The following is a 23,547-nucleotide window of genomic DNA, read 5'->3' as shown; positions in this document are numbered from 1 at the left end:
TGTCAAAGATTTGTTGCACCAAGGAGCAGCAGCTGAGGAGAAGGTACACTAGCATGGTTGAATACATTTGCCACAGAGAGATGGATAGTGGGAATACTGGACATGATGCCTTTACCCACTCCAGCCCCATCATGCTGGGCTGTTTGTCTACATGCTCCTTCTTGGAAGAGCTTTTAGCATGGTGCTTTCCGATCTTTGAACATTTGCCCTTGCCTACACAACTAAGCAGCCTCATCCCTTCCTTAAGCCTTCCATCAAGCAACCTTCACTAGTTTTAAAGTACAGTCCTAAATTTGCTATAGCATATATGCATTTGTGTATCTATTTAGTTATTCAAAGTTTAACAGGTCTTCTTAGCTCTATTATTTTTATTAGGATAAATATCCTAATCTTAGCATTGTGGTCATAATATTGTACAGGTTTTTGTGGTCTACCCAACCCTATTTTTGCAAAAGTCCTGTTTTTTTTTACGTTCATTATTATTATTATTATTATTATTATTATTATTATTATACTTTAAGTTTTAGGGTACATGTGCACAATGTGCAGGTTTGTTACATATGTATACATGTGCCATGTTGGTGTGCTGCACCCATTAACTCATCATTTAGCATTAGGTATATCTCCTGATGCCATCCCTCCCCTCTCCCCCTACCCCACAACAGTCCCTGGTGTGTGATGATCCCCTTCCTGTGTCCATGTCTTCTCATTGTTCAATTCCCACCTATGAGTGAGAACATGCAGTGTTTGGTTTTTTGTCCTTGCGATAGTTTGCTGAGAATGATGGTTTCCAGCTTCACCCATGTCCCTACAAAGGACATGAACTCATCATTTTTTATGGCTGCATAAAGTCCTGTTATTTTTAATGTACAATTCTGTAGAACACAAACTATTTCAGGAACCTGTATATAATGTTACAACAGAAATGCTTCTATCAGTTCACCAAAGACTCTCCCATAAGCTATCATGGCATTCCTTACATAAGTTCTTTGAAGTAAATGTCAATCACCACATTCACTTTTCAGATGAGAAAACTGAGGCTCTGAAATATTAAATGACTTATTCAATGGAGATGAATTAGGACTTGAATCCAAGTCTTCAACTCCAAGTCTATTTATTCAGTCTTCATTTTACCCATGGCACTTAGCACAGTTCCTAGCACATGGTAGGCAATCAAACAGTAAGTAATTCTGGGAAAAATTAACACTGTCCCCATAGCATTCCTCTAGCTAACAATATCGTTCATGAATGTCATTTTGAAAAATAAAGAAAGAAATATTGAGGAAAGCAAAAAGGTAACCAAATTTTTTTGAGCTCCTACTATGAGCTAGGAATAACCCTGGGTGCTTTGTAAACACATACACACACACACACACACACTAGGAGATAGCTTTTGTTATTCCATTTTACAGATGAGAAACTGGTGGTGAGACGTTTAAGGAAATTACCAAAGATTACAATAGCGGGAAGGGAATGAGTTCAGATTCAAACCCAAGTCTTCCTGATTGCAAAGTCCATCCATACTTTTCACTGTATCAGTGAAAAAGGCCTGTTACTTATAGAATAAGAGATGACTTTCAGTGGTAGATAGACACATTTATTTTATACTTTTGTAATTATATTTATAGTTGTCTAAATGTTTATGGCAATTGATGCTTGTTATCCATTTACAATAGTACTCATCATCTCCTATAAAATTTGTCTTTGAGTTTTAAAAAAGTGAGTCCATTTAAAGAAAAGTATTAAATTGATTTTAGACATGTAAGTGGATATAGCAAAATGGAAACAATGATTAGTAAGTGACTGAAACTTGAGAAGCACAAATCTTAATCCTAACAAATTCCTTAATAAAACATTTTTGTATATGTGATTGGTTCCCATAAGGTGTATTGGCAGATATTTTCTAAATTATTTAGAGTAAAAAGGAAATGAAAACAAATCCGATTCCATGGGCAGTATTGTAAGAAATTTAACATGCTACCCTTTATTTCAATATTCTGTGTCATTTGGTGTTTCTGTGGTAGTTGCTGTAAGAAGTGCTTGGGTTCTCTTAGAATAAAGGAAGCAGTAGAAGAATCCATACAATTTTTAAGAGAGTAGTGGAAGTTTTCAGAGCCTAGTGAATATTCCCAAATGATCCACATGCTTGATGTTTGTGTTGTGCAGAGAAACAAAGTAAAAGACCCTGGGACTACTCAAGACACCTGGGTTTCCATCTTATCTTTGGATGTTAACTTACTACATCACTCAAGTAAGTTATGGCTGGGGTGCTCAGTGTCTTCATTATTTAAATGACAGAGTTTTGATTTCCATAACCATTTTCCAGTAATGTGAGACACACCCAATAGAGAGAATAACTATAACTGGCAAAAGCAGTTATTCCTGTAACTTAGGAAGCACATGCCTACATGGGCACTAGAGCCCTTCCAGGTCTAAAAATCTGATTTCATGATTTCAGTTCCTTGGGTTGCAGATGGCCATACAAATAGCAGTAACATAGACACATTGCCATTAAACAGTCTCTGGATTATGCTTAGAATGTCACACCACAGATAGCATAAGCCAAGCTGTTGTAAATTCGTACCTGTCCTACTAGATAGTGAGTATTCTGGTTAATTAAATGTCCACGTTAATACCACTGTGCTCATTATAACTGTAGATAAGGACTTTGTATTTTTAAGAAATGCATTATGTAACTGCAATATATCAAACACAATTTAAACTATCACTAATAAGTGTTCTCTTTTCTTCACTTTACTAGTTTTTTCTTTGTTTCATTTTTGTTTCTGTTTCTTAACTAAGAAATTAATTTATGCTTATTATGATATATTACAATATTCACTCCCTCCTTCTGCAACCTCTATGACTTCCCAGCTCTACTGATACTGAACTTAGCTGTGATACTTGCTTCAGTCAATAGAACGTGGACAGAAATGATATCATAACAGTTCCAAGCCTGGCCTTAAAAAGTTTCACATGCTTCCATTTACCCCAGTGTCTCCCCTGAGAAGAATATGCCCCTGGTAGATTCGACCTCTCTAGGATGAGTTCTAGAATGAGACACATGGAGCACATTTGAATGTGACCCTCAGCCCCCCATTTCTCCAGGTTGTAAACTACGCACACATGCAACAATGCATTAAAGTCAGCAGTTGCAGGAAAAGCCATCATCACTACTTAGAAAACTGTAAGGGTGGCAGCTGTAATGGGGAGGACAGAACACCAAATTAGGTCTTAGGAAGGTGAAGCCACCTCAACTGACCTGCAGACCAAAGAGCAGGAAATCAACTGATTAACATTGCGTAGCACTCAGATTTTGCGATGGTTTGTTTCACAAGAAGAGCTAATTAACCTACCTATTGTGACAAGTAAAAATTTACAGAAATCTAATTTTTAAAGAGAATAAAATCTTCTCTCTAATCCCACCCCTGACTAAGGCTACTAATGATAACCATTTGGTATATAACTTTCTGCTGTTTTTTTTTTCAAGGATTAAAGGAGCAAATGCATGTTTAAAAAAAAACACTTAGCATAGTGCTGGGCATATGAAGAAAGCACTCATTAAACATTAGCTATTTTTATTGGTATTCTCACATAAACAGACATACTCAGATATAGGTGTTTCAATTTGTGCAGAAATGAGACCATGCTATGCACATTACTCTGAAACTTTCCTTTCTTCACTTATTGCTACATCATGGGCATTCCTCTAGGTCAACTCATCTTTATAAGGTTAATTAGCTCCTTTTAAAATGGCTACAGGATATTCCATGGTTTGACTATTCCATAATTGTCTTATTTCCACTTTACAGGTAAAGAAACTGAGACTCAGAGAACTGAAAGTGTTTGCAAAATTGTTGCTACCCCTCCCTATCAAGTCTTCTCTTCTTCCCCTGTCTCAGGCTTGGTTTTGTGACACTGTGACACAATTTGGCCAATGAAAGGTGAGTGGAAATGCCCATAGGTAAAGCCTTAAGAGCCACCCCATGGTGACAGCTCTCACCCTCGTCTGTAACATACACCAGCAATATCTCAAACAGAGGCTGCTCCTTCAGCCTGGGTCTCGAAGTAAAGACCTAAGGTGTAAATCAGGAAGGAAATGTAACATGCATATGAAATAAACTCATGTTGTTTTAAGCCTCTGAGATGCTGGGGGTTGTTTGTTGCCACAACATGATTTAGAGAATGCTAACACAATGTTTCCAGACTTTCAAGTGTTTTGTCATTCATTACAAATATTCATCATCACTGGTTTGGTCAAGCACCAACATGCTAGTCAATAAAGATGTGAGTTGATAAAATAATCAGGAATAATCACCTCCCTAACTGTATTTTTAAAAACTATCAATAGCCTCCTCCTCAAGTTCCAAATAACTGGCGAAGGATATGATAATATCACAGAAAAGATAAGTCTACCTAACCCAGTAGGTTGAGGACCATCCTTTGTGTGTGGGAAGCCTCCTAGGTAGGTCAGTATTATAAGAACTTTGACCCAGTTTCTTCATGTTGCAAACTACATACACACAAACAGGCAACACTGTGCTAAAAGGCAGTAGTTCCAAGAAAAACCATCATTGCTACTTAGAAAACTGCAGGGAAGGCAGGCAAAATGGAGAGGAAATTAGAATAAATGGGACATTAGGAAGTCTAATTCCAGCTTCGCCATGTATCAGCTCTGAACCTCAGTTTGCAAAGAAGACTGCTGTGAGGATCCAATGAGGGACAGCAGGTGCAGTCACGACTAATAAGAAAAAGAAACATGTATTCTGATTTTTTTAAATTACATGTGGAATACATGTTCGTTGTAGAGAATTTTAAAACAAACAGAGAACATAAGAAAGAAAGTGGAAATTACCCAAAAATCACAACCATTGACATCCTAATGGTTAATCAGCCATATTTCCTTCTAGGTAAATGCATACCCATATTACATATTATACTTGTACATCACACAAAGCCTTCTGAATGCATTTATTAAGTACATGCATACATATATTACAAGACCTTCCTCTCAGGCTCATTCTCTCCATTCTTCTTCCCAGTTTACCTTTTTGTCCCTCCAAACATGCCCCATATTCAATAATATCCAGGCCTTTGTATATGCACTCCCTCTTCCCAGAATATTCTTTCTCTCTCCACTATCTCCTCTTTTTCTGGCTACTCCTACTCATCTTGGAGGGCTCAGTTCCTAGAGGACAATTATCTGACCCTGACCCTTGTCAGATTTCCCCAGGGAACCTAGAGCATCCTGTTCCTTGTTTTTCATAGCATTGCCATACTGGACTAGTCTTGCCTCTTTATTCTACTTTCCTTGCTAGACCCCAACTTGTGGGCAGGTACTATAGCTTTTGTTCACCAGGGATTACCAAAGGCTGTCCCATAGTAAATGCTCAAAATTTTTTGAATAAATGAGTAAAATAGTTAACAATATATGCTATCTATTTTTCTTCTGAAATCCCCAAAGCACCTTACAGTTCTCAATAAATACCCACTGAAAGATTAAATATGGAAGAGTATGTAAGACATGGTAACATGCTTCATGAAGTTTATAAATTAGATGGGAAGAAAGCATTGTAAAAGGAACCTCAGCACAATTAAATGCTATATTCTTTTCTTCTGCCTCCTCCACTACTTTTCTTCAAACTAGAAAGAGCAGAACAAAATCCCTAAGTTCAGTTCCACATTTGTTTCTTCATTGAGGGTATCCTGCAGCACTAACTGAAATAAAACAGCAGCTTTAACACATATGCTCCAACATTTCAGTGGCTCAGCGCAATAAAGTTGATTCCTCATTCCATCAAAATCCTATTGAGAATATTTCTGGTCGATAAGAAACCTTTCACATGGTTATTCAGAGATCTGGACTACTTCTATCTGTGGACCTGCCCTTCTCTACGACCTTGGAGACACAGAGACGAGGAGATGGGGAGAGACGGTTTTATGAGCCAAGCCTGTAAGTGATACACAGCACATTCACTGCATTGACTAAAACTCAGCCACAGGTATTTAGAAAGGAGGCCAGGAAATGTAGTCTATCTGTACATACAAGAGGAAAAGAAAAGAGGTTTGGTGAAAACTTTGTAGTTCTTCGCCACAGCTGATAAGGGAGTACCTAATCTTCTCAAGTGATCCCAAGACCAGGTAATTTTGATTTATGGATACTGAAAACACCCATTTTTTGACAGAAAAATATCCATCTAATAGTGGACATGAGAATGTATCATTCCAGGTTTAGGAATTTTGAAGGTAAAAAAAGGTCAATTCCAGAAATGAGAAACAGTGATGTTAATTACCACTCCAGAATTCTAAATGAGATTCTTTAAGATGGCTTTTATGAACATTGAAAATAAGAATGATGATTACTATAAGTACAATGAGCTGACAAGGAATTATCATAAATGATAATTTATGGCATCGTTTCTGGCACATAGTAGATAATAAATACATGTTGAGCAGGGAAACTACAATTCTACTTTTAAGGCAACTATCCTATTGATAAATAATTTTAACTTCAGAAAGTTCCTTCTTAAATACAGGAAAGTTTTCTTCTCTAACTTCTAACCATTAGCCTAGCTCTGACCTCAAAACCTACAGAGACTCCTATGGGTGCTCTATTGGTCTTCCCCCTGCCTTCTCCAACCCACACTTCTCCCAGGCAAATAATCCCAGTTCATTCAATTCTTCTCCACAAGACAAGGTTTCAGGCCTCTCACCATTTGGCTGTCCTTCCCACAGATATCTGTGGTTGGCCAAATTGCTTTCCAAATTTCAGGCCCACAATATTCCCAAAGATGGGACCCAATGGTGTCCAACCAGTAGCATTTAGTAGAATTACTACTCTTGGCTTTGGGCATTGTGTCCTTACTTTGTGACTAGAAGTATTTAAGTAGTGAAGATGCTAGCAAAGGAATTTCTGCATTGGAAAAAAGGCAGGACTTGGAAGGTGACCACTAAGGACTCTTGCCACTTTATGATCCTATAGGTTTTGTAGAAGTTCTGAGTAGAGAAAAGGCATCACCATAAGTGTGATAATGTACGCAACAGTTACACATTCCTCCTTGACAAAAACCTTGAAGAAAATCCAAAAGGACTTCCACAAGGGCTCCGATGTATAAAAAAGATGTATTGGGTATATTCTCTGTGCTAAGCATGCTAGATGCTATGGATACAGTGGAGACCAAGAGATACAGTTTTTCTATATTCTTGACACTTGGCATCTAGTGTGTGAAATGGACTTTAATAAGACAGTTTAAAAAAATACATAATTACATAAAGAAATATAGAATAATACTTTTTAAAACATTCTATTGTTAAGAGAAAATCACCATTTCCCTTGCCTCAGTTTTCCATGATGGGACATCTGCTAAAATAACCCTCTTATCCTTTCTCTCCATCCTTTATATATAGTCCCCATGGGAAGAAAAGTAATTTGAGTTATCTGATTTCTGAGTTCACAAGAAAGACCCATGCATGCCCCACTCAGAAACCGGCTCTCACTTTTCAGAGTCAATTCATCCAAAGGATGTATACACTCACTGTACCTCTGGAGAAGGTCTGCAACTGTCCATCATAGCCAGGAACCAGTAGGTAAGTTTAATGCATGGGTGAAACATCAGTGCTATGGGTTGAATGTTTGTCTCCTCCAAACATCATGTTGAAATGTGATTCCCACCTGTTGGAGGTGGGGCCAAATGGGAGGTGTTTGGGCCATGGGAGCAGATCCTTCATGAATAGAGTAATGCCCTCCCTGGGGTGAGGCAGGGAGTGAGTTCTTCTAGCTCTATTAGTTCTCAGGAGAGCTGGATATTAAAAAGAGCTTTGCACCTCCCCCTTTTCTCTCTTGCTTCCCTTTTGCCCATGTAATCTCTACACACCCAGAACCCCTTCACCTTCTCTCATGAGTAGAAACAGCCTGAGGCCCTTACCAGATGCAGATGCCCAATCATGAACTTTCCAAGCAGCAGAATTATGAGCCAAATACACCTTTTTTTTTCTTTATAAATTACCCAGCCTCAGGAATTCCTTTATAGCAACACAAAAGAGACTAAGACAATCAGAAAATCCACTGTGGCTTCCTGTTTGCCATACCCTCCAAACCAGTCTGTATTAGCTTTCACATTGATATTTTGATCCCCACTCATCTGATTCCTGTGTCTAACTCTCAGCTGGTTCTTAACTCCAGAAGGTGAGAAAGGGGTGTTATTCATAATCCTTCTCAAAGAAAAGTTATAGGGACTTATGAGAGTATAAGGAGAAATCTAATTTACATGGAGAGAGGGCACATTAGGAAAAATCACAGAAAGTCTCTTTGTCATTTAAGCTAACATCCAAAGAAAGATAGAAATTGGCCAAAAAACAAGGAAGGGTTAAGAGGTTCTTAGACAACAAATAGTTTGTCTTATATGAGGAACAAATGAAGGCTAGTGTGGGAGTCATTAGGACTGGTCACCATAGGATTGTGCTTCCTGGTCCCCTTGTGGCTTGGCTGGGCTGGGCCATGAGACTAGTTTTAGTCAATGAATGTGTGAGAAGTGACATGTGACATTCTTAGGAAAAGACACTTAATTGCTGTGATGAGACCCTTCAAAGCTGCCTTTCCTTCTACCACGAGATCTGAAATGTTCCTGAAAGTGGGTGTTCCATCAGCCTGGGTCCTAGAGGAAGGTGATGTGATCAGAGTGCTTGCCAACCCTTGCTGGACATATTGCAGGAGCAAGGAAAAAAAAAACTGTATTTCTTAAGTCACTGAGGTTTGGGGGAAAAAAATGATTTAATTATAGCATATGAACATATAGGAACAAGAAAAAAACTTTATTTCTTAAGTCACTGAGGTTTGGAAATATTCTTAATCATAGCATAACTTAGGCTATCCTGATTGATTCAGCCAAAGGCAGTGTGGCTGGAGAAAAGTGAGATGAGAAGTCCTAGCTCTTTTAAGCTAATAGGATGCCTTTAAGGAGGCTTCAGCAGGGGAATTTGACATTTTCCACATATTATGTATTAAAACAAGGTACTATTGCTACTCAATCATTAAAACACCCCCTTCATTCCACTATGGAAAAGGCTATTTAAAAAAAATCCATCAACAAGCATTTACTGAGCACCTTCTATGCTTTCATATGCCAGGCTTTGTATTAAGCATTGGAGATACAAAATAAGAATAAGACACAGTTGCTGGATTTGGAGTCAGGGATTTAAGAAGACATTTACAAGATCATGTGAAAAACATTCTCTACTTCAGGTATGTACCCAGTATGGTGACAGCCAAAGAGGATAATAACTATTCGAGGTGAAGCAGGAGATGGGGTGAGGGAAAGCTTCAGAGGTAGTGATTATTTGAGCTGGCTCCTGAAGGGTGAATAGGAGTTTGCCAGGTAGCCTTTTGATTAGGGATAAACGTACATGCAAAGACAGGAAACTGTCAGAGCGATGGAAAATGTCTGGGGTGGCAGCGACTCAAAGGAATGGAGGGAATGTGGAGTGCAGGGTGTGGTAGACTGCAATACTATTCAAAAATACTTGCTGCCCCTCCTCACTGACATCAGGCTCGGTCATATAAATTGCTCTCAGTATAAGCTTTAAGGGCTATGCTTTTTTCTGTCTGCCAATAACAGTAATGTTTTAGAAAGAGCGTGCTTCATTAACCAAGGTCTTTGAGCAAAGATCATGTGTGTAAATCAGAGACACAGCCAACTTATGGTGGATGTATTAGTCTGTTCTCACACTGCTAATAAAGACATACCTGAGATTGGGAAATTTATAAAGGAAAGAGGTTTAATGGACTCACAGTTCCACATGGCTTGGGAGGCCTCAAAATCATGGCAGAAGGCAAAGGAGAAGCAAAAGCACATCTTACATGGTGGCAAGCAAGAAAGCTTGTGCAGGGCAACTCCCATTTATAAAACCATAATATCTTATGAGACTAATTCATTACCATGAGAACAGTATGGGGGAAACTGACCCCATGATTCAATTATCTCCACCTGACCCCACCTTTGACATGTGAGGATTATTACAATTCAAGGTGAGATTTGAGTGGGGACACAACCAAACCATATGAGTGGACATGCAATATGAGTGAGAAACAATTCTGTGATTGTAACCCAGTAAGATTTTTGGATGGCTAACACAGCATAACCTAGAGTATATGGAGGTGTGCATTTCCAGCTCTTTGACTTCCGGGTACCTAGTAGGATTGCACTTTCCTGCACCCTTTAAGTAAGGCATGGCCATGTGACTAATTTTAGCCAATAATATGTAAATACAATAAAAAGTGTCATTCCTAGGAGGGAGCTTTTAAAGCCAATGTGAGTTCACCATGCTTTCTTTCCCCTGCCAAACTGATGCGATGATTGTTGAAGCATGTATCAAGATGAAACCTTCTTCAGACTAGGTTTCTAAATGAGCACATTAAGCAGAGCCCCGTGAAGTTGAACATGTAGTATGAGCAAAATATAAAATTTATTTTTAAGCCACTGAAATTTTAGGATTGTTTGTTATGGCAGCATAACCTAAACCATCCTGACTCATATAAAAATTGGCTCCTAGATATGGGTTAGTGTAATAACAACAATAAGCATAACAACAATAAAACTAAACAATCATTTAGAGGGCGATAACTAAGAACACTGCTATCAGAAGCTGAAGGGATGGTGATCTGTTTGGTAAACATATCACCTGTGATAATGTAGAAGGCAGATCATGAACCTGATGAACTAAAGAAAAGGATTGTAAAACAGAGAGTGAGTAGTGTGTGTTGGTGGCTGTTGGATGCATTCTGAAAGTTACTACAAGCTATTCAAAGATGAACTCAGAAAAATTTGGCCTGTTTGCAATCAGGAATGAAATGGAATAGAGAAAACCTATAAATCCAGGGATTTACATCGTTAGAAGAGGCAATTGTTTCCCAGTCCCGACTGGTAAAATATAAAATCAAGAAATACTTTTAGCAAGAAAGGACCTGGAAGAAACTAAGCTTTGAAGTAAGGATCAAGTCACAAAGTATGAACCTACTATTAAAACCTCAGGATAGGAGGCCGAGGAGGACGGATCACCTGAGGTCGGGAGTTCGAGACAAGCCTGACCAATATGGAGAAATCCTGTCGCTCCTAAAAATACAAAATTAGCCGGGCGTGGTGGCGCATGCCTGTAATCCCAGCTACTCAGGAGGCTGAGGCAGGAGAATCGCTTGAACCCGGGAGGTAGAGGTTGCAGTGAGCCGAGACTGTGCCATTGCACTCCAACCAGGGCAACAAGAGTGAAACTCCGTCTCAGAAAAAAAAAAAAAAGGATCAATTAAGATCTTACCCAGTATATACTTTCAACTGGACAAAATGGCTCTGGGAAAAGGAAGAAAGGTCTAACTCTCCCATCAAAACCCAATAAGCCCAAAGTGCTCAAAATCAAGTGAAGAGCAAGAGAGTGAGACGGCAAAAGAGAGACAGAGGAGTCAACAGGCAGGAGAGCAGGAAAGCAAAGAGATATGGCAAACCAAAGAAGTATGTCTGGAAAAGAACTTTGTGGCTATTGTCACATGGAACACCTCATATCAGATAGATAAGAAGCCTACCTACACATATTCAAGACTTAATGTCACTCTGCATCTCCCCAACTTTTAAAAGCTTATTTAAAAGCATATTTTCCAATGCCTGCTTTAGCTGTGGAAAAGGAAGACTCTCCGAGGGCAAATCCAGGAGTCATGGAAAACAATGGGCAGGGCAGCTTGGTGCTGTGACTGGATGGGTCTTTAAGGTTGTTTCCCTTGAATAAAGAATGAGGGAATTCCACCAGGGGAAGGAGAGTAGACCAAACATTTGGTGAACAGAAAGGGAGACAGAGTCTTTAGTGTTATTCCCCAAATATTCCTGGAGAGCCCTTTGAGACACCTGGTAGGATTATAGTGATCTAAAGAGGCATGGCCATGTGACTGCTTTGGCCAATGATGTATGGGCAGAAGTGATGTGTGCCATAAGTGGATGCTCTGACAGCCATGATGTTCCGAGTTCCTTCCCCACAGTCAGGATAGCTGTGAAAAGGGGTATCAACACGAGGCCTCCTTCAGCCTGAGCCCTTTAGTGACTACAATGAGCAGAGCTACCCTGCCAACCTACAACGGTCATGTAGCAGAAATGACCAACTTTCACTGGAATAAGCCACTGATATGTTAGGGTTGTTTGTTAGGGCAGCATAACACTGCCTTTCCTGACAGAACTGGGAGTGAGAGATAAGGCTGGAGAGAGAAGGAGTTGGATTGTGAAAAGCCCCTTCTCCAAGGCATAGGAATCGGAACTCTCCTGATTGTAAGGAAAAGCCAATGAAGGCTTCCAAGCAGGGGCGTTAACATGAACAGATTTGTTATTTTTTTGGATGAAATATGCTATTTCTCAACATAAGGAGAAGATCAGCCTACTAAACCACATGAGGCAGAGAGGAACACACAGAACCTTAGGCAAAAGATATATATTTATGCAAAGTCCTAAGTCTTGAAATTTCTAAATACAAGAGCTCTGAACGGAGTTACAGTCAGAGGATCAGGCAAGAAAATTTCTTCTATGCCACAAGCGCTATTTCCTCTGCAGATAACTAATACTCCACAAGAAAGTTTGCCAGAGTAGAGAAAATACAAAGGAATGTAACACAGACCTGAGGTCAATTTCCAGCTGCCTGTGTGACCTCAACAAAGATACTTAACCTCTCTGGGCCTATTTCCTCACATGTTAAATCTGGATAATAATATATGTCTCTCAAGACAGTTGTGGGGAGAAAACAGCGTATTTAAATTGCTTAGGAGAATGCCTGGCAGATAATAAGTGTTTAATACATGAAACTGATTTTTATTACTGTTATTAAAAAATATTTAGAACACCAACTCCCTGAATACAACAGAAAATGATTCAGGGCAACAGACAGAGGAGAATGTTCTCTCCTTGAGGAAGCAACTGGATCTTGTCATCACTGTATACCTACCTACCCCACCCCCTCCCCAGCTCAGTGCCTGGCTCACAGTAGGCTTTCAGTTACCCTCTGCAGATCAGTGAAAGCTAGGTGAGTGCCCGGAGTGAAGAAAAGTTGGCAGGTTTCCCACTGATACCAGCTGCTGTTGGTTTCTGAACACTCAAAGCCGCAAATACCTTAGGGCTGGGGGCAATGAACCCAAGGCTGAATTCCAAGTTCAGAAGCAGCGAAGTCTGAATTTAGAACCTAGGAACTTAAACTGCTGCAGGTCCAACTTCAAGCCCCAGTTTTAGACAGAGGCTTGGGAAAGATCTGACTTCTAACCCGGTTCCCCCTCCCCTCCTCCCCTCGATGCTTCTCACAGGAAAGTACACCTGGTCCTGCCAAATCGCACTCTTATATCCTGGCATCCTATCCAGGCTCTGCGAGGATGGAAACTGCGAGGCAGGGGAGGGAAGCGGGCTGTTTGGCCACCACCTCCCTAGTGCTGCAGGCGACCCTGTCACACTAACTCCTGGCAGCCCAGTGAGGTGGACGGCACCGGCCCCACCTGCAGATGAGGGAAATGAAGCTCGGAGGAGTTCCGTGATTTGCTTGCTTCACACTGTGGTAGCCTGGCCACGAAAGAACCAGGATTCCCGACTTCGGGATTCTTTCCACCACACACTTTCGTCCCTAAGGGGTGGGGGGCGGGGGGAGAATAAAATAACCGCGGAAAAGGAACCACTTACATGTGTCTAGCGCTTCCTAGAGGCTACCCAGGATATGCGCCCACCACCCGGCCGGGAGTGCAGAGATTTGAAGTCCAGGTTCTACCCCGGGCTCCGAGTACTACTGCGTGACTTTATGCGAGTGTCCGCCGCCTTCTGGGCTTGTTTTCCCGGAAGCAACTCGGCGCGGATGGAGTGTGTGTGTGCGCGCGCGCGCGCGTTATGTTGTGCGTGTTGTGTTAAGCGTGTGCGTGTTGTCCGGGGGCGGGAGGGGGAGTAGACTAACACCGGGGTTCCCCGAGTTTCGGATCGCCTACACGCTTGTTCCCATCTGGACCCTGTTACCCACCAATTGCGCCCACTATAAAAACTGCCCCTCCGAGGCAAAGCTGTGAACCCCCGCGCCCTTTCCCCCACGGTCCCGGAGGATGAAGTGGGGTGCAACGGAGACTCAGCTGAGCGTCCAGTTTCGGGCAATACAAATCTCTCGGCTTCTACGAGCAGCCAGACGACCCCGCGGACCGTCGCTCCTGAACTTGACCGAGATGCAAACTTCGGAGTGTTCTCAACGTGGGGGGCCGACTCTCGGGAGACCGCCCCTAAACTTAAGTCCCCTTAGGCTCGCCCCCACCTGGGACTTCACAGAGCCACCTTAAGGGCGGTATTCCCGCCCCCCCGGAAGTGCGGGGGGGTGGCAGCGTACTTGGATTCTCAGCCTCCAGCCCCGCGCGGTGGCGGCCGCCGGTGGATGACTTCGGGCCCCACAAGTGGGGAAACAACAACCACCCCTCGCCCGCACCCCTGGCCCAAAACAACTGGCCAGGTTCCCTGGCCTCCCGGGTCCCTGCATCCCCCGCATCCCCGTCCGCAGCCGTGAACTTGAGCCCCCCTCCATCAGAGGTTGCGAGCGTCCGCCCGCTCGCGGCAGCCACCGTCACTAGACAGTCAAACCCCAAGACGTCAGCCCACAATGCACCGGGCGGGCCGGGAAAAACGGCCCGGGGAGGGGACCGGGGAAGAGAGGGCCGAGAGGCGTGCGGCAGGGGGGAGGGTAGGAGAAAGAAGGGCCCGACTGTAGGAGGGCAGCGGAGCATTACCTCATCCCGTGAGCCTCCGCGGGCCCAGAGAAGAATCTTCTAGGGTGGAGTCTCCATGGTGACGGGCGGGCCCGCCCCCCTGAGAGCGACGCGAGCCAATGGGAAGGCCTTGGGGTGACATCATGGGCTATTTTTAGGGGTTGACTGGTAGCAGATAAGTGTTGAGCTCGGGCTGGATAAGGGCTCAGAGTTGCACTGAGTGTGGCTGAAGCAGCGAGGCGGGAGTGGAGGTGCGCGGAGTCAGGCAGACAGACAGACACAGCCAGCCAGCCAGGTCGGCAGTATAGTCCGAACTGCAAATCTTATTTTCTTTTCACCTTCTCTCTAACTGCCCAGAGCTAGCGCCTGTGGCTCCCGGGCTGGTGTTTCGGGAGTGTCCAGAGAGCCTGGTCTCCAGCCGCCCCCGGGAGGAGAGCCCTGCTGCCCAGGCGCTGTTGACAGCGGCGGAAAGCAGCGGTACCCACGCGCCCGCCGGGGGAAGTCGGCGAGCGGCTGCAGCAGCAAAGAACTTTCCCGGCTGGGAGGACCGGAGACAAGTGGCAGAGTCCCGGAGCCAACTTTTGCAAGCCTTTCCTGCGTCTTAGGCTTCTCCACGGCGGTAAAGACCAGAAGGCGGCGGAGAGCCACGCAAGAGAAGAAGGACGTGCGCTCAGCTTCGCTCGCACCGGTTGTTGAACTTGGGCGAGCGCGAGCCGCGGCTGCCGGGCGCCCCCTCCCCCTAGCAGCGGAGGAGGGGACAAGTCGTCGGAGTCCGGGCGGCCAAGACCCGCCGCCGGCCGGCCACTGCAGGGTCCGCACTGATCCGCTCCGCGGGGAGAGCCGCTGCTCTGGGAAGTGAGTTCGCCTGCGGACTCCGAGGAACCGCTGCGCACGAAGAGCGCTCAGTGAGTGACCGCGACTTTTCAAAGCCGGGTAGCGCGCGCGAGTCGACAAGTAAGAGTGCGGGAGGCATCTTAATTAACCCTGCGCTCCCTGGAGCGAGCTGGTGAGGAGGGCGCAGCGGGGACGACAGCCAGCGGGTGCGTGCGCTCTTAGAGAAACTTTCCCTGTCAAAGGCTCCGGGGGGCGCGGGTGTCCCCCGCTTGCCACAGCCCTGTTGCGGCCCCGAAACTTGTGCGCGCAGCCCAAACTAACCTCACGTGAAGTGACGGACTGTTCTATGACTGCAAAGATGGAAACGACCTTCTATGACGATGCCCTCAACGCCTCGTTCCTCCCGTCCGAGAGCGGACCTTATGGCTACAGTAACCCCAAGATCCTGAAACAGAGCATGACCCTGAACCTGGCCGACCCAGTGGGGAGCCTGAAGCCGCACCTCCGCGCCAAGAACTCGGACCTCCTCACCTCGCCCGACGTGGGGCTGCTCAAGCTGGCGTCGCCCGAGCTGGAGCGCCTGATAATCCAGTCCAGCAACGGGCACATCACCACCACGCCGACCCCCACCCAGTTCCTGTGCCCCAAGAACGTGACAGATGAGCAGGAGGGCTTCGCCGAGGGCTTCGTGCGCGCCCTGGCCGAACTGCACAGCCAGAACACGCTGCCCAGCGTCACGTCGGCGGCGCAGCCGGTCAACGGGGCAGGCATGGTGGCTCCCGCGGTAGCCTCGGTGGCAGGGGGCAGCGGCAGCGGCGGCTTCAGCGCCAGCCTGCACAGCGAGCCGCCGGTCTACGCAAACCTCAGCAACTTCAACCCAGGCGCGCTGAGCAGCGGCGGCGGGGCGCCCTCCTACGGCGCGGCCGGCCTGGCCTTTCCCGCGCAACCCCAGCAGCAGCAGCAGCCGCCGCACCACCTGCCCCAGCAGATGCCCGTGCAGCACCCGCGGCTGCAGGCCCTGAAGGAGGAGCCTCAGACAGTGCCCGAGATGCCCGGCGAGACACCGCCCCTGTCCCCCATCGACATGGAGTCCCAGGAGCGGATCAAGGCGGAGAGGAAGCGCATGAGGAACCGCATCGCTGCCTCCAAGTGCCGAAAAAGGAAGCTGGAGAGAATCGCCCGGCTGGAGGAAAAAGTGAAAACCTTGAAAGCTCAGAACTCGGAGCTGGCGTCCACGGCCAACATGCTCAGGGAACAGGTGGCACAGCTTAAACAGAAAGTCATGAACCACGTTAACAGTGGGTGCCAACTCATGCTAACGCAGCAGTTGCAAACATTTTGAAGAGAGACCGTCGGGGGCTGAGGGGCAACGAAGAAAAAAAATAACACAGAGAGACAGACTTGAGAACTTGACAAGTTGCGACGGAGAGAAAAAAGAAGTGTCCGAGAACTAAAGCCAAGGGTATCCAAGTTGGACTGGGTTGCGTCCTGACGGCGCCCCCAGTGTGCACGAGTGGGAAGGACTTGGCGCGCCCTCCCTTGGCGTGGAGCCAGGGAGCGGCCGCCTGCGGGCTGCCCCGCTTTGCGGACGGGCTGTCCCCGCGCGAACGGAACGTTGGACTTTTCGTTAACATTGACCAAGAACTGCATGGACCTAACATTCGATCTCATTCAGTATTAAAGGGGGGAGGGGGAGGGGGTTACAAACTGCAATAGAGACTGTAGATTGCTTCTGTAGTACTCCTTAAGAACACAAAGCGGGGGGAGGGTTGGGGAGGGGCGGCAGGAGGGAGGTTTGTGAGAGCGAGGCTGAGCCTACAGATGAACTCTTTCTGGCCTGCCTTCGTTAACTGTGTATGTACATATATATATTTTTTAATTTGATGAAAGCTGATTACTGTCAATAAACAGCTTCATGCCTTTGTAAGTTATTTCTTGTTTGTTTGTTTGGGTATCCTGCCCAGTGTTGTTTGTAAATAAGAGATTTGGAGCACTCTGAGTTTACCATTTGTAATAAAGTATATAATTTTTTTATGTTTTGTTTCTGAAAATTCCAGAAAGGATATTTAAGAAAATACAATAAACTATTGGAAAGTACTCCCCTAACCTCTTTTCTGCATCATCTGTAGATACTAGCTATCTAGGTGGAGTTGAAAGAGTTAAGAATGTCGATTAAAATCACTCTCAGTGCTTCTTACTATTAAGCAGTAAAAACTGTTCTCTATTAGACTTTAGAAATAAATGTACCTGATGTACCTGATGCTATGGTCAGGTTATACTCCTCCTCCCCCAGCTATCTATATGGAATTGCTTACCAAAGGATAGTGCGATGTTTCAGGAGGCTGGAGGAAGGGGGGTTGCAGTGGAGAGGGACAGCCCACTGAGAAGTCAAACATTTCAAAGTTTGGATTGTATCAAGTGGCATGTGCTGTGACCATTTATAATGTTAGTAGAAATTTTACAATAGGTGCTTATTCTCAAAGCAGGAATTGGTGGCAGATTTTACAAAAGATGTATCCTTCCAATTTGGAATCTTCTCTTTGACAATTCCTAGATAAAAAGATGGCCTTTGCTTATGAATATTTATAACAGCATTCTTGTCACAATAAATGTATTCAAATACCAATAACAGATCTTGAATTGCTTCCCTTTACTACTTTTTTCTTCCCAAGTTATATACTGAAGTTTTTATTTTTAGTTGCTGAGGTTAACATTGCTGCAATCTGAAGTGATTTGAAAATTAAGAAGCAAAGAATTTAGGAAGAGTCAAACTAGAAGTTGTGATCTGAATGAAACAGTCTCCCAATTTCATTAATTCTTTCCCTCTTTCTCCATCTCTATCTCTCTCTCTACTACCTCACCCCCAAATAAACCCCTATGCCTATGGAAACTAACAGTTTAGCATTTTGGGTCTGTCTGTAGCTTATTTCTTAATTTGTTTCTAAAATAATCAACCTTGTTTAAATATAGAATAAGTCTCAAAAGATAGTAATCTAATACTATGGAAAAGATTCACAAGAGAAAACATGAACTAGTACTAACTCAATGATTACATGCGTAAATCAAACCTCAGCTCTGGGGAAATGGGAAACTTGAATTCTACCTACAGATATAACTTAGGAGATCAACAAGGCAGTGCTTAACAAGGGAACAATTTTTTGCTTGGTTGCTTTTCATACCAAGAGCCAGTGTGATTATCAGGCAGCAAAAGCAATTTGATATCCAGGAATATTTCACAAACCACTAATTGAGTCAGGGCTGTTTGCTCATTAGCAGTGTTCTAGTACCCAGTAGGTCTGGGAGTGCTAATATCCTGCCTGTGGCTGTAAATCCAAATACACAAAGAGTTTCTCCTTAGGAGTATATCTAGGAGTGGAAGAGATTGGACAGGCTTGTTAGCTTCGGATCCTTTGTAATAACACTTCTTGAACAAAGGGTTACTGGGAGCAGAGCCCAGTTTGCCAAACTGAATTTGCCGATGTCAGCAACCCGGAAGGTGAGATGATTTTGACCATATGTAGAAATAGCAGAGGGACAATAAAGCATTTTGGGGTGGGGCTCTGTGGAAGCTAAACAAGAGCCAACTAGAAAAAATAAGCAGGCTGGGGAATTAATTACCTGCAAAGGTAGACTAAGCCCAGACAACAGTACAGCACAGAAAAGCCACACCACTCCCCAGTTTGCTTTAGATTTCAGTGTTAAAAAAAAAAAAAGTCTGAAACTCAGGCCTATCCCCATGCTTGATTGTTTCAATTAACATTCTAAATGTATATTCTTGAAATTCTAACCATTCTAACCAAAAGGGGTAGAAAAAAGTAATTGTGGTAGAGGAAATTAACCCATGATCTCTGGTAAATTTTGGAGACAAAAGATTAACTGCTTATAAACACTTAATGGTTAAGCTTATTATGGGCCTTCAATGAGTTAATCTTTGAATTAAGGTAACACTAATAGTTGGAGAAGATGAAGCTGGTGACACATCGTCATTAATCCTCTTAATTTTTTTTACACATATATATATGTTACATATATAAAATAATTCAATCAAGGACATTTAACCCTCTCTGTCTATCAAGACAGAGGGTTCATGAACTCAGTGAAAATGCCCAGAAAGTTGTGTTTGTGTGTCTGTACACACTCTTCTGAGGAGAGAAATTTTTGCTTTTATTCGACCCTCCCAGAGTTCCATGACTCAAAAAAAAGGGTTAATAAACCATGAACTGACCAGCTACATGCCCACTATCAGAAACATATCATTGTATGGATCTAAATCCCATGCTCTTTCACCCCTTCATGTTTCTGCTTGCATGTATTTGCCTGGAATACCTTTCCTTCTAGTTCAACTGATAAATCCTACCCATTCTTCAAGTCTTGGCGTAAGTGACACCTTCTCTGTAAAGCTTCCCTTAGTAACTCCATCTTCAAAAGGAATGAATAATTCCCTAATGAGCATGATAACATTTTATCAAAAATCCTATGATAGCACATACAAAAATGTATTATGAACCTCTGTGTCTCCTGGTCAGAACCCTATCTTCTTCATCAATGGACTCCCAAACTTTTAATGTAGCGCCTGGCATATAGTAGATGTTCATAAAATAAATGTTTGATGACTGAACGAACAAGTGAGCTCAAACCCTCCTCCAACATAATTCCAAGTCTTAGTTTCTTCTAGTAAATATACTTCATTCATTTCCAGGTGCATAACTCGTGATGGATCAACCCTCAAAGTCAACCTGGCCAACCCTCAAGTTCTAAAGCCCAGTACTTAGTGAGTGTTCTTAAAAGAATTAAGCTGTTAGCACATTCATACATCCAGCCACACACAGTGTCCCTTCCTGCCTCCACTAATGCAGGTGAGCATCTTCTTACATTAAATGGGTCTGCCTGAAACATTAGTTTTGAAGGTGGAAATGGAGCCTATGTGTGTCCTTGGGCAGGCACAAAAACAGTTCCAGATGTGTCTTCATTTAAAACAACCAGCTTTATTGGTAATGAGAGAGGGGACTTTCTGTTAGTAAAATTAGACATATTTCAGGGGTCCAGAAGTTAGTACCCAATGTTTGCTTGCTGAGACAGGAATCATGCTAATCCATCTATTCCTCCATGTCATTTCATTACTAGAGAAGTGCATTCATGAACCAAGGAAAGAGGCCATGACTTCTGGTTTGATTGTCCCTTGCCTCCTCCACCCACCTCTATGGTGGTCAAGTAGGATCTCATAGAAGAGGGGAAGAGGGTTAGCAGCTGGGATGGCCCCAGAATGTAAAACTATTCTTTCCTAACTCTGGAACCTAACTTGAGTTGTTTGGTTTTGGACTTTTGAACATCATAAAGCAGGGCATTCCTCTGGTCCTGAGTCTCTTTGAGGCCCTCTGCTTGTCTGTGGGGATTCAATGATGAGCAAAATATAATCCCTATTCTCAAGGAACTCACATTCTGGTAGAGTGGAATGTGGAGATGAAATAGAAACTATTCTAAAGGCACAAGATATATGCTATAAGAAAAAGGTGCCAGATGGGAGCAGAAGGAGACATTATTAGAAAATGCTTTATGGGAGAGGTGACATTTGAGCTGATCCAGTGGGCCTTACCAGGCAGAAAAGATTGGAAAGAAACGTGCATGCAAAGGCAGAGAAGTATGAGAAAACGTCTTGTGTTTAGGGACCTGAAGGCTGCTTAGAGAAGCTCGGAAGAAAGATACGAGAAGAAAACTGAAGGGAGAAGAGGCAGGGAAGTTGAAGGCTTGGGTTGAGATTTAATATCCATTCCATGTTATCCTATAGGTGACGGAGAAAGCAGGTGAATTTGAAACAGAGTGGGGACATAATACCCTCAGCTTAAGAATGATTCATGCTGGCAACAGTTTGGAGGATGGATTGGTGAAGAAGAAGCTAGGTAAGGGGTGAAATACCAAAGATAGGTTTTCAGTTTTATTTAGAATGCCTGTGGTATTTAAAGTAGTCTTACAGTTGGGGGACAAATGGGAAGAAGATGGCTTGGTCCAGGCTACATCATGCCACCTTTCTTCTTATGTAACTTTCTGATGAGTTAGGCCTAAAGAGGGATACCAGGAGGTTTGCTTTCCTCTTATGCTACCTGCTCCATGCTTACATTTTCCTCTCCATTGGGTCCATTTGATACCTGAAAGAAAATCTTCTCACAAAATGGTCTAGAGCCCACCTGTTCAGAGTCAGGAAGCTCAAATAAACAGATGTGAATGAAACAGACCTGCACCCGTGTAGGCCAGGCCTTCCAGGGTTATAGCACAGAACTGGTCTTCACTGCTGCAAGACCAAACCTGACTTTATCTGGTCACCTAGAATTGATTAAGCTCAATGAGGCTAGTTGACCCAAACTTTATAAACTCTTTGATGTATAAACAAATTATGTTGAGGGAACTGATAATAACATTTTACATTCCCATAGCACTCATTTTCTACCACAAGTAATATTGAAATCCTATTTTGTGCCAGAAACCAGGAACACAGAAGAGTGAAAGCAACAGGATGCCTTCCCTCATGGAGTTTCTCATCTAGCTAAAAGGAACAGTAAATAAACACACAAGGCCAGGCATGGTGGCTCACACCTGTAATCCCAGCACTTTGGGAGGCTAAGGCAGGCATATTACTTCAGGTCAGTAGTTCGAGACCAGCCTGGCCAACATGGTGAAACCCTGTCTCTCTGCTGAAAATACAAAAATTCGCTGGGCATGGTGGTGGGTGCCTGTAATCCCAGCTACCCAGGAGGCTGAGGCAGGAGAATCACTTGAACCCAGGAGGCGGAAGTTGCAGTGAGCTGAGATGGCGCCACTGCACTCCAGCCTGGGCGACAGAGAGAGATTCCGTGAAGAAAGAAAGAAAGAGAGAGAGAAAGAGAGGGAGGGAGGGAGGGAGGAAGGAAAAGAAACACACAAATAAATATATGATTAAAGTGCAATGAAGAAAAAGAACTGGGCACTAATAAAGAGAAGATCTAAATTGGGTTGGCAACAAAGTATTTCTGGAGAACTACTTGAGCTGAGAAATCTTAGACTAAGAGTTCCCCATGTGAAGAGCAGATGAATAGGAGTGAGACATCCCAGGTGAAGAATCAGCATGAAGGAGAGCCTGGGAAAGACTCTGGTGCACCCTAGTAGTTATGAGAAGGCCTGAATCCCTGGAGCATACTAAGCAAAAGAAAGAGTGATGAGCAATGACATTTGTACTCACCCATCCATACTCTTGTAGTTTCCAAAGCTCTTTTGCCTCTTCTGTCTCATGTTATTTTCACCACTGTTCTCGGGATGCCCATTGATAGTAGTCATGTTTCATGGGAGCAGAAGCTGAGGCTCCCAGTGAGTTTTAAGTGCTTTTGTTGAGGCCATGGCTCCAGTAACTGGTGGGGCACAATTTGGTCCCCAGGCATCAAGAACCATATTTTTCACCTATATTGTTCCAAGAAACAGAAATCCTGGTGACCTTGGGTCTCTTACTCAGTGCACACCCCTACGTCTACATCAAGGACCCTGAGGACTGAATTAGTTATCAGAAGGTTCTTTGATGTGCACAGCATCTGAGCAAAGGTAATCAGATAGTCTCCTGGGATATTTTGTCCATGCCGCAGCAATGTCTAATGAACTCTCCTTGCCTCTCTGCAAACTCCCCCTCTCTGGAGAGAACGAACACTTCTGTGCTGAGAAGCCCTGAGAGTTTCTTGCTATACAAACTTCTTTCATGTACATCACTAAAAAACATTGTTTGATGATTGCCTCATTATTGCTTCAAACAATTGTGTTACCAGATGACCAATACAGTTATTGCCTTCTTAGGTTGTAGGTACTCACTGGTCCCCTGGACAGAATTTGAATATTTCCCAAATATCCTGAGGATTGTACATTCATCACCTTGGGCTGATGACTAATCTCTTCCAGGGTGTATTGATTGATCTTAGGTTCATGCTTGAAGGGGGAAACTTTTCCTGATATTATGTTAT

At 43.7% G+C, this 23,547-nt stretch overlaps 1 protein-coding gene and 1 long non-coding RNA gene across 4 annotated transcripts in view, besides 6 other annotated features; one reads left to right on the top strand and one right to left on the bottom strand.

Moving 5' to 3' along the window:
- The window catches only part of JUN-DT (JUN divergent transcript), a 114,562-nt gene extending 100,722 nt beyond the window's left edge, over window positions 1-13,840 (bottom strand). For all 3 annotated transcript variants that reach the window (NR_034014.1, NR_034015.1, NR_108106.1), the window contains exon 1: window positions 13,686-13,840. This is a non-coding gene — a long non-coding RNA (JUN divergent transcript). The remainder of the gene's footprint in view (window positions 1-13,685) is intronic.
- Window positions 13,753-14,498: an enhancer, noted in NCBI's record as "H3K27ac hESC enhancer chr1:59250165-59250910 (GRCh37/hg19 assembly coordinates)". NCBI's record gives its function as "activates a minimal SCP1, AML or CMV promoter by ChIP-STARR-seq in primed H9 embryonic stem cells {active_cell/tissue: H9 hESC(primed)}" and the evidence as "EXISTENCE:reporter gene assay evidence [ECO:0000049][PMID:30033119]".
- Window positions 14,499-15,246: an enhancer, noted in NCBI's record as "H3K27ac hESC enhancer chr1:59249417-59250164 (GRCh37/hg19 assembly coordinates)". NCBI's record gives its function as "activates a minimal SCP1, AML or CMV promoter by ChIP-STARR-seq in naive H9 embryonic stem cells {active_cell/tissue: H9 hESC(naive)}" and the evidence as "EXISTENCE:reporter gene assay evidence [ECO:0000049][PMID:30033119]".
- Window positions 14,725-14,984: an enhancer, noted in NCBI's record as "active region_1091". NCBI's record gives its function as "activates an Ori minimal core promoter by ATAC-STARR-seq in GM12878 lymphoblastoid cells {active_cell/tissue: GM12878}" and the evidence as "EXISTENCE:reporter gene assay evidence [ECO:0000049][PMID:35858748]".
- JUN (Jun proto-oncogene, AP-1 transcription factor subunit) lies at window positions 14,944-18,200 on the top strand. Its single transcript, NM_002228.4, has one exon. The coding sequence runs from the start codon at window positions 15,921-15,923 to the stop codon at window positions 16,914-16,916; it is 996 nt and encodes a 331-aa protein (NP_002219.1). The 5' UTR covers window positions 14,944-15,920; the 3' UTR covers window positions 16,917-18,200.
- Window positions 16,505-16,584: a silencer, noted in NCBI's record as "silent region_934". NCBI's record gives its function as "represses an Ori minimal core promoter by ATAC-STARR-seq in GM12878 lymphoblastoid cells {active_cell/tissue: GM12878}" and the evidence as "EXISTENCE:reporter gene assay evidence [ECO:0000049][PMID:35858748]".
- Window positions 16,655-16,834: an enhancer, noted in NCBI's record as "active region_1090". NCBI's record gives its function as "activates an Ori minimal core promoter by ATAC-STARR-seq in GM12878 lymphoblastoid cells {active_cell/tissue: GM12878}" and the evidence as "EXISTENCE:reporter gene assay evidence [ECO:0000049][PMID:35858748]".
- Window positions 16,972-17,147: a silencer, noted in NCBI's record as "fragment chr1:59247516-59247691 (GRCh37/hg19 assembly coordinates)". NCBI's record gives its function as "represses an EF-1alpha promoter that drives an FKBP-Casp9 reporter gene in an ReSE screen in HepG2 liver carcinoma cells {active_cell/tissue: HepG2}" and the evidence as "EXISTENCE:reporter gene assay evidence [ECO:0000049][PMID:32094911]".

The sequence above is a fragment of the Homo sapiens genome, chromosome 1 (genome assembly GCF_000001405.40).
Source record: "Homo sapiens chromosome 1, GRCh38.p14 Primary Assembly".
Classification (NCBI taxonomy): domain Eukaryota; kingdom Metazoa; phylum Chordata; class Mammalia; order Primates; family Hominidae; genus Homo; species Homo sapiens.
The sequence above is the reverse complement of the archived record's forward strand: the minus strand, read 5'-3'. Positions and strand labels throughout refer to the sequence as shown.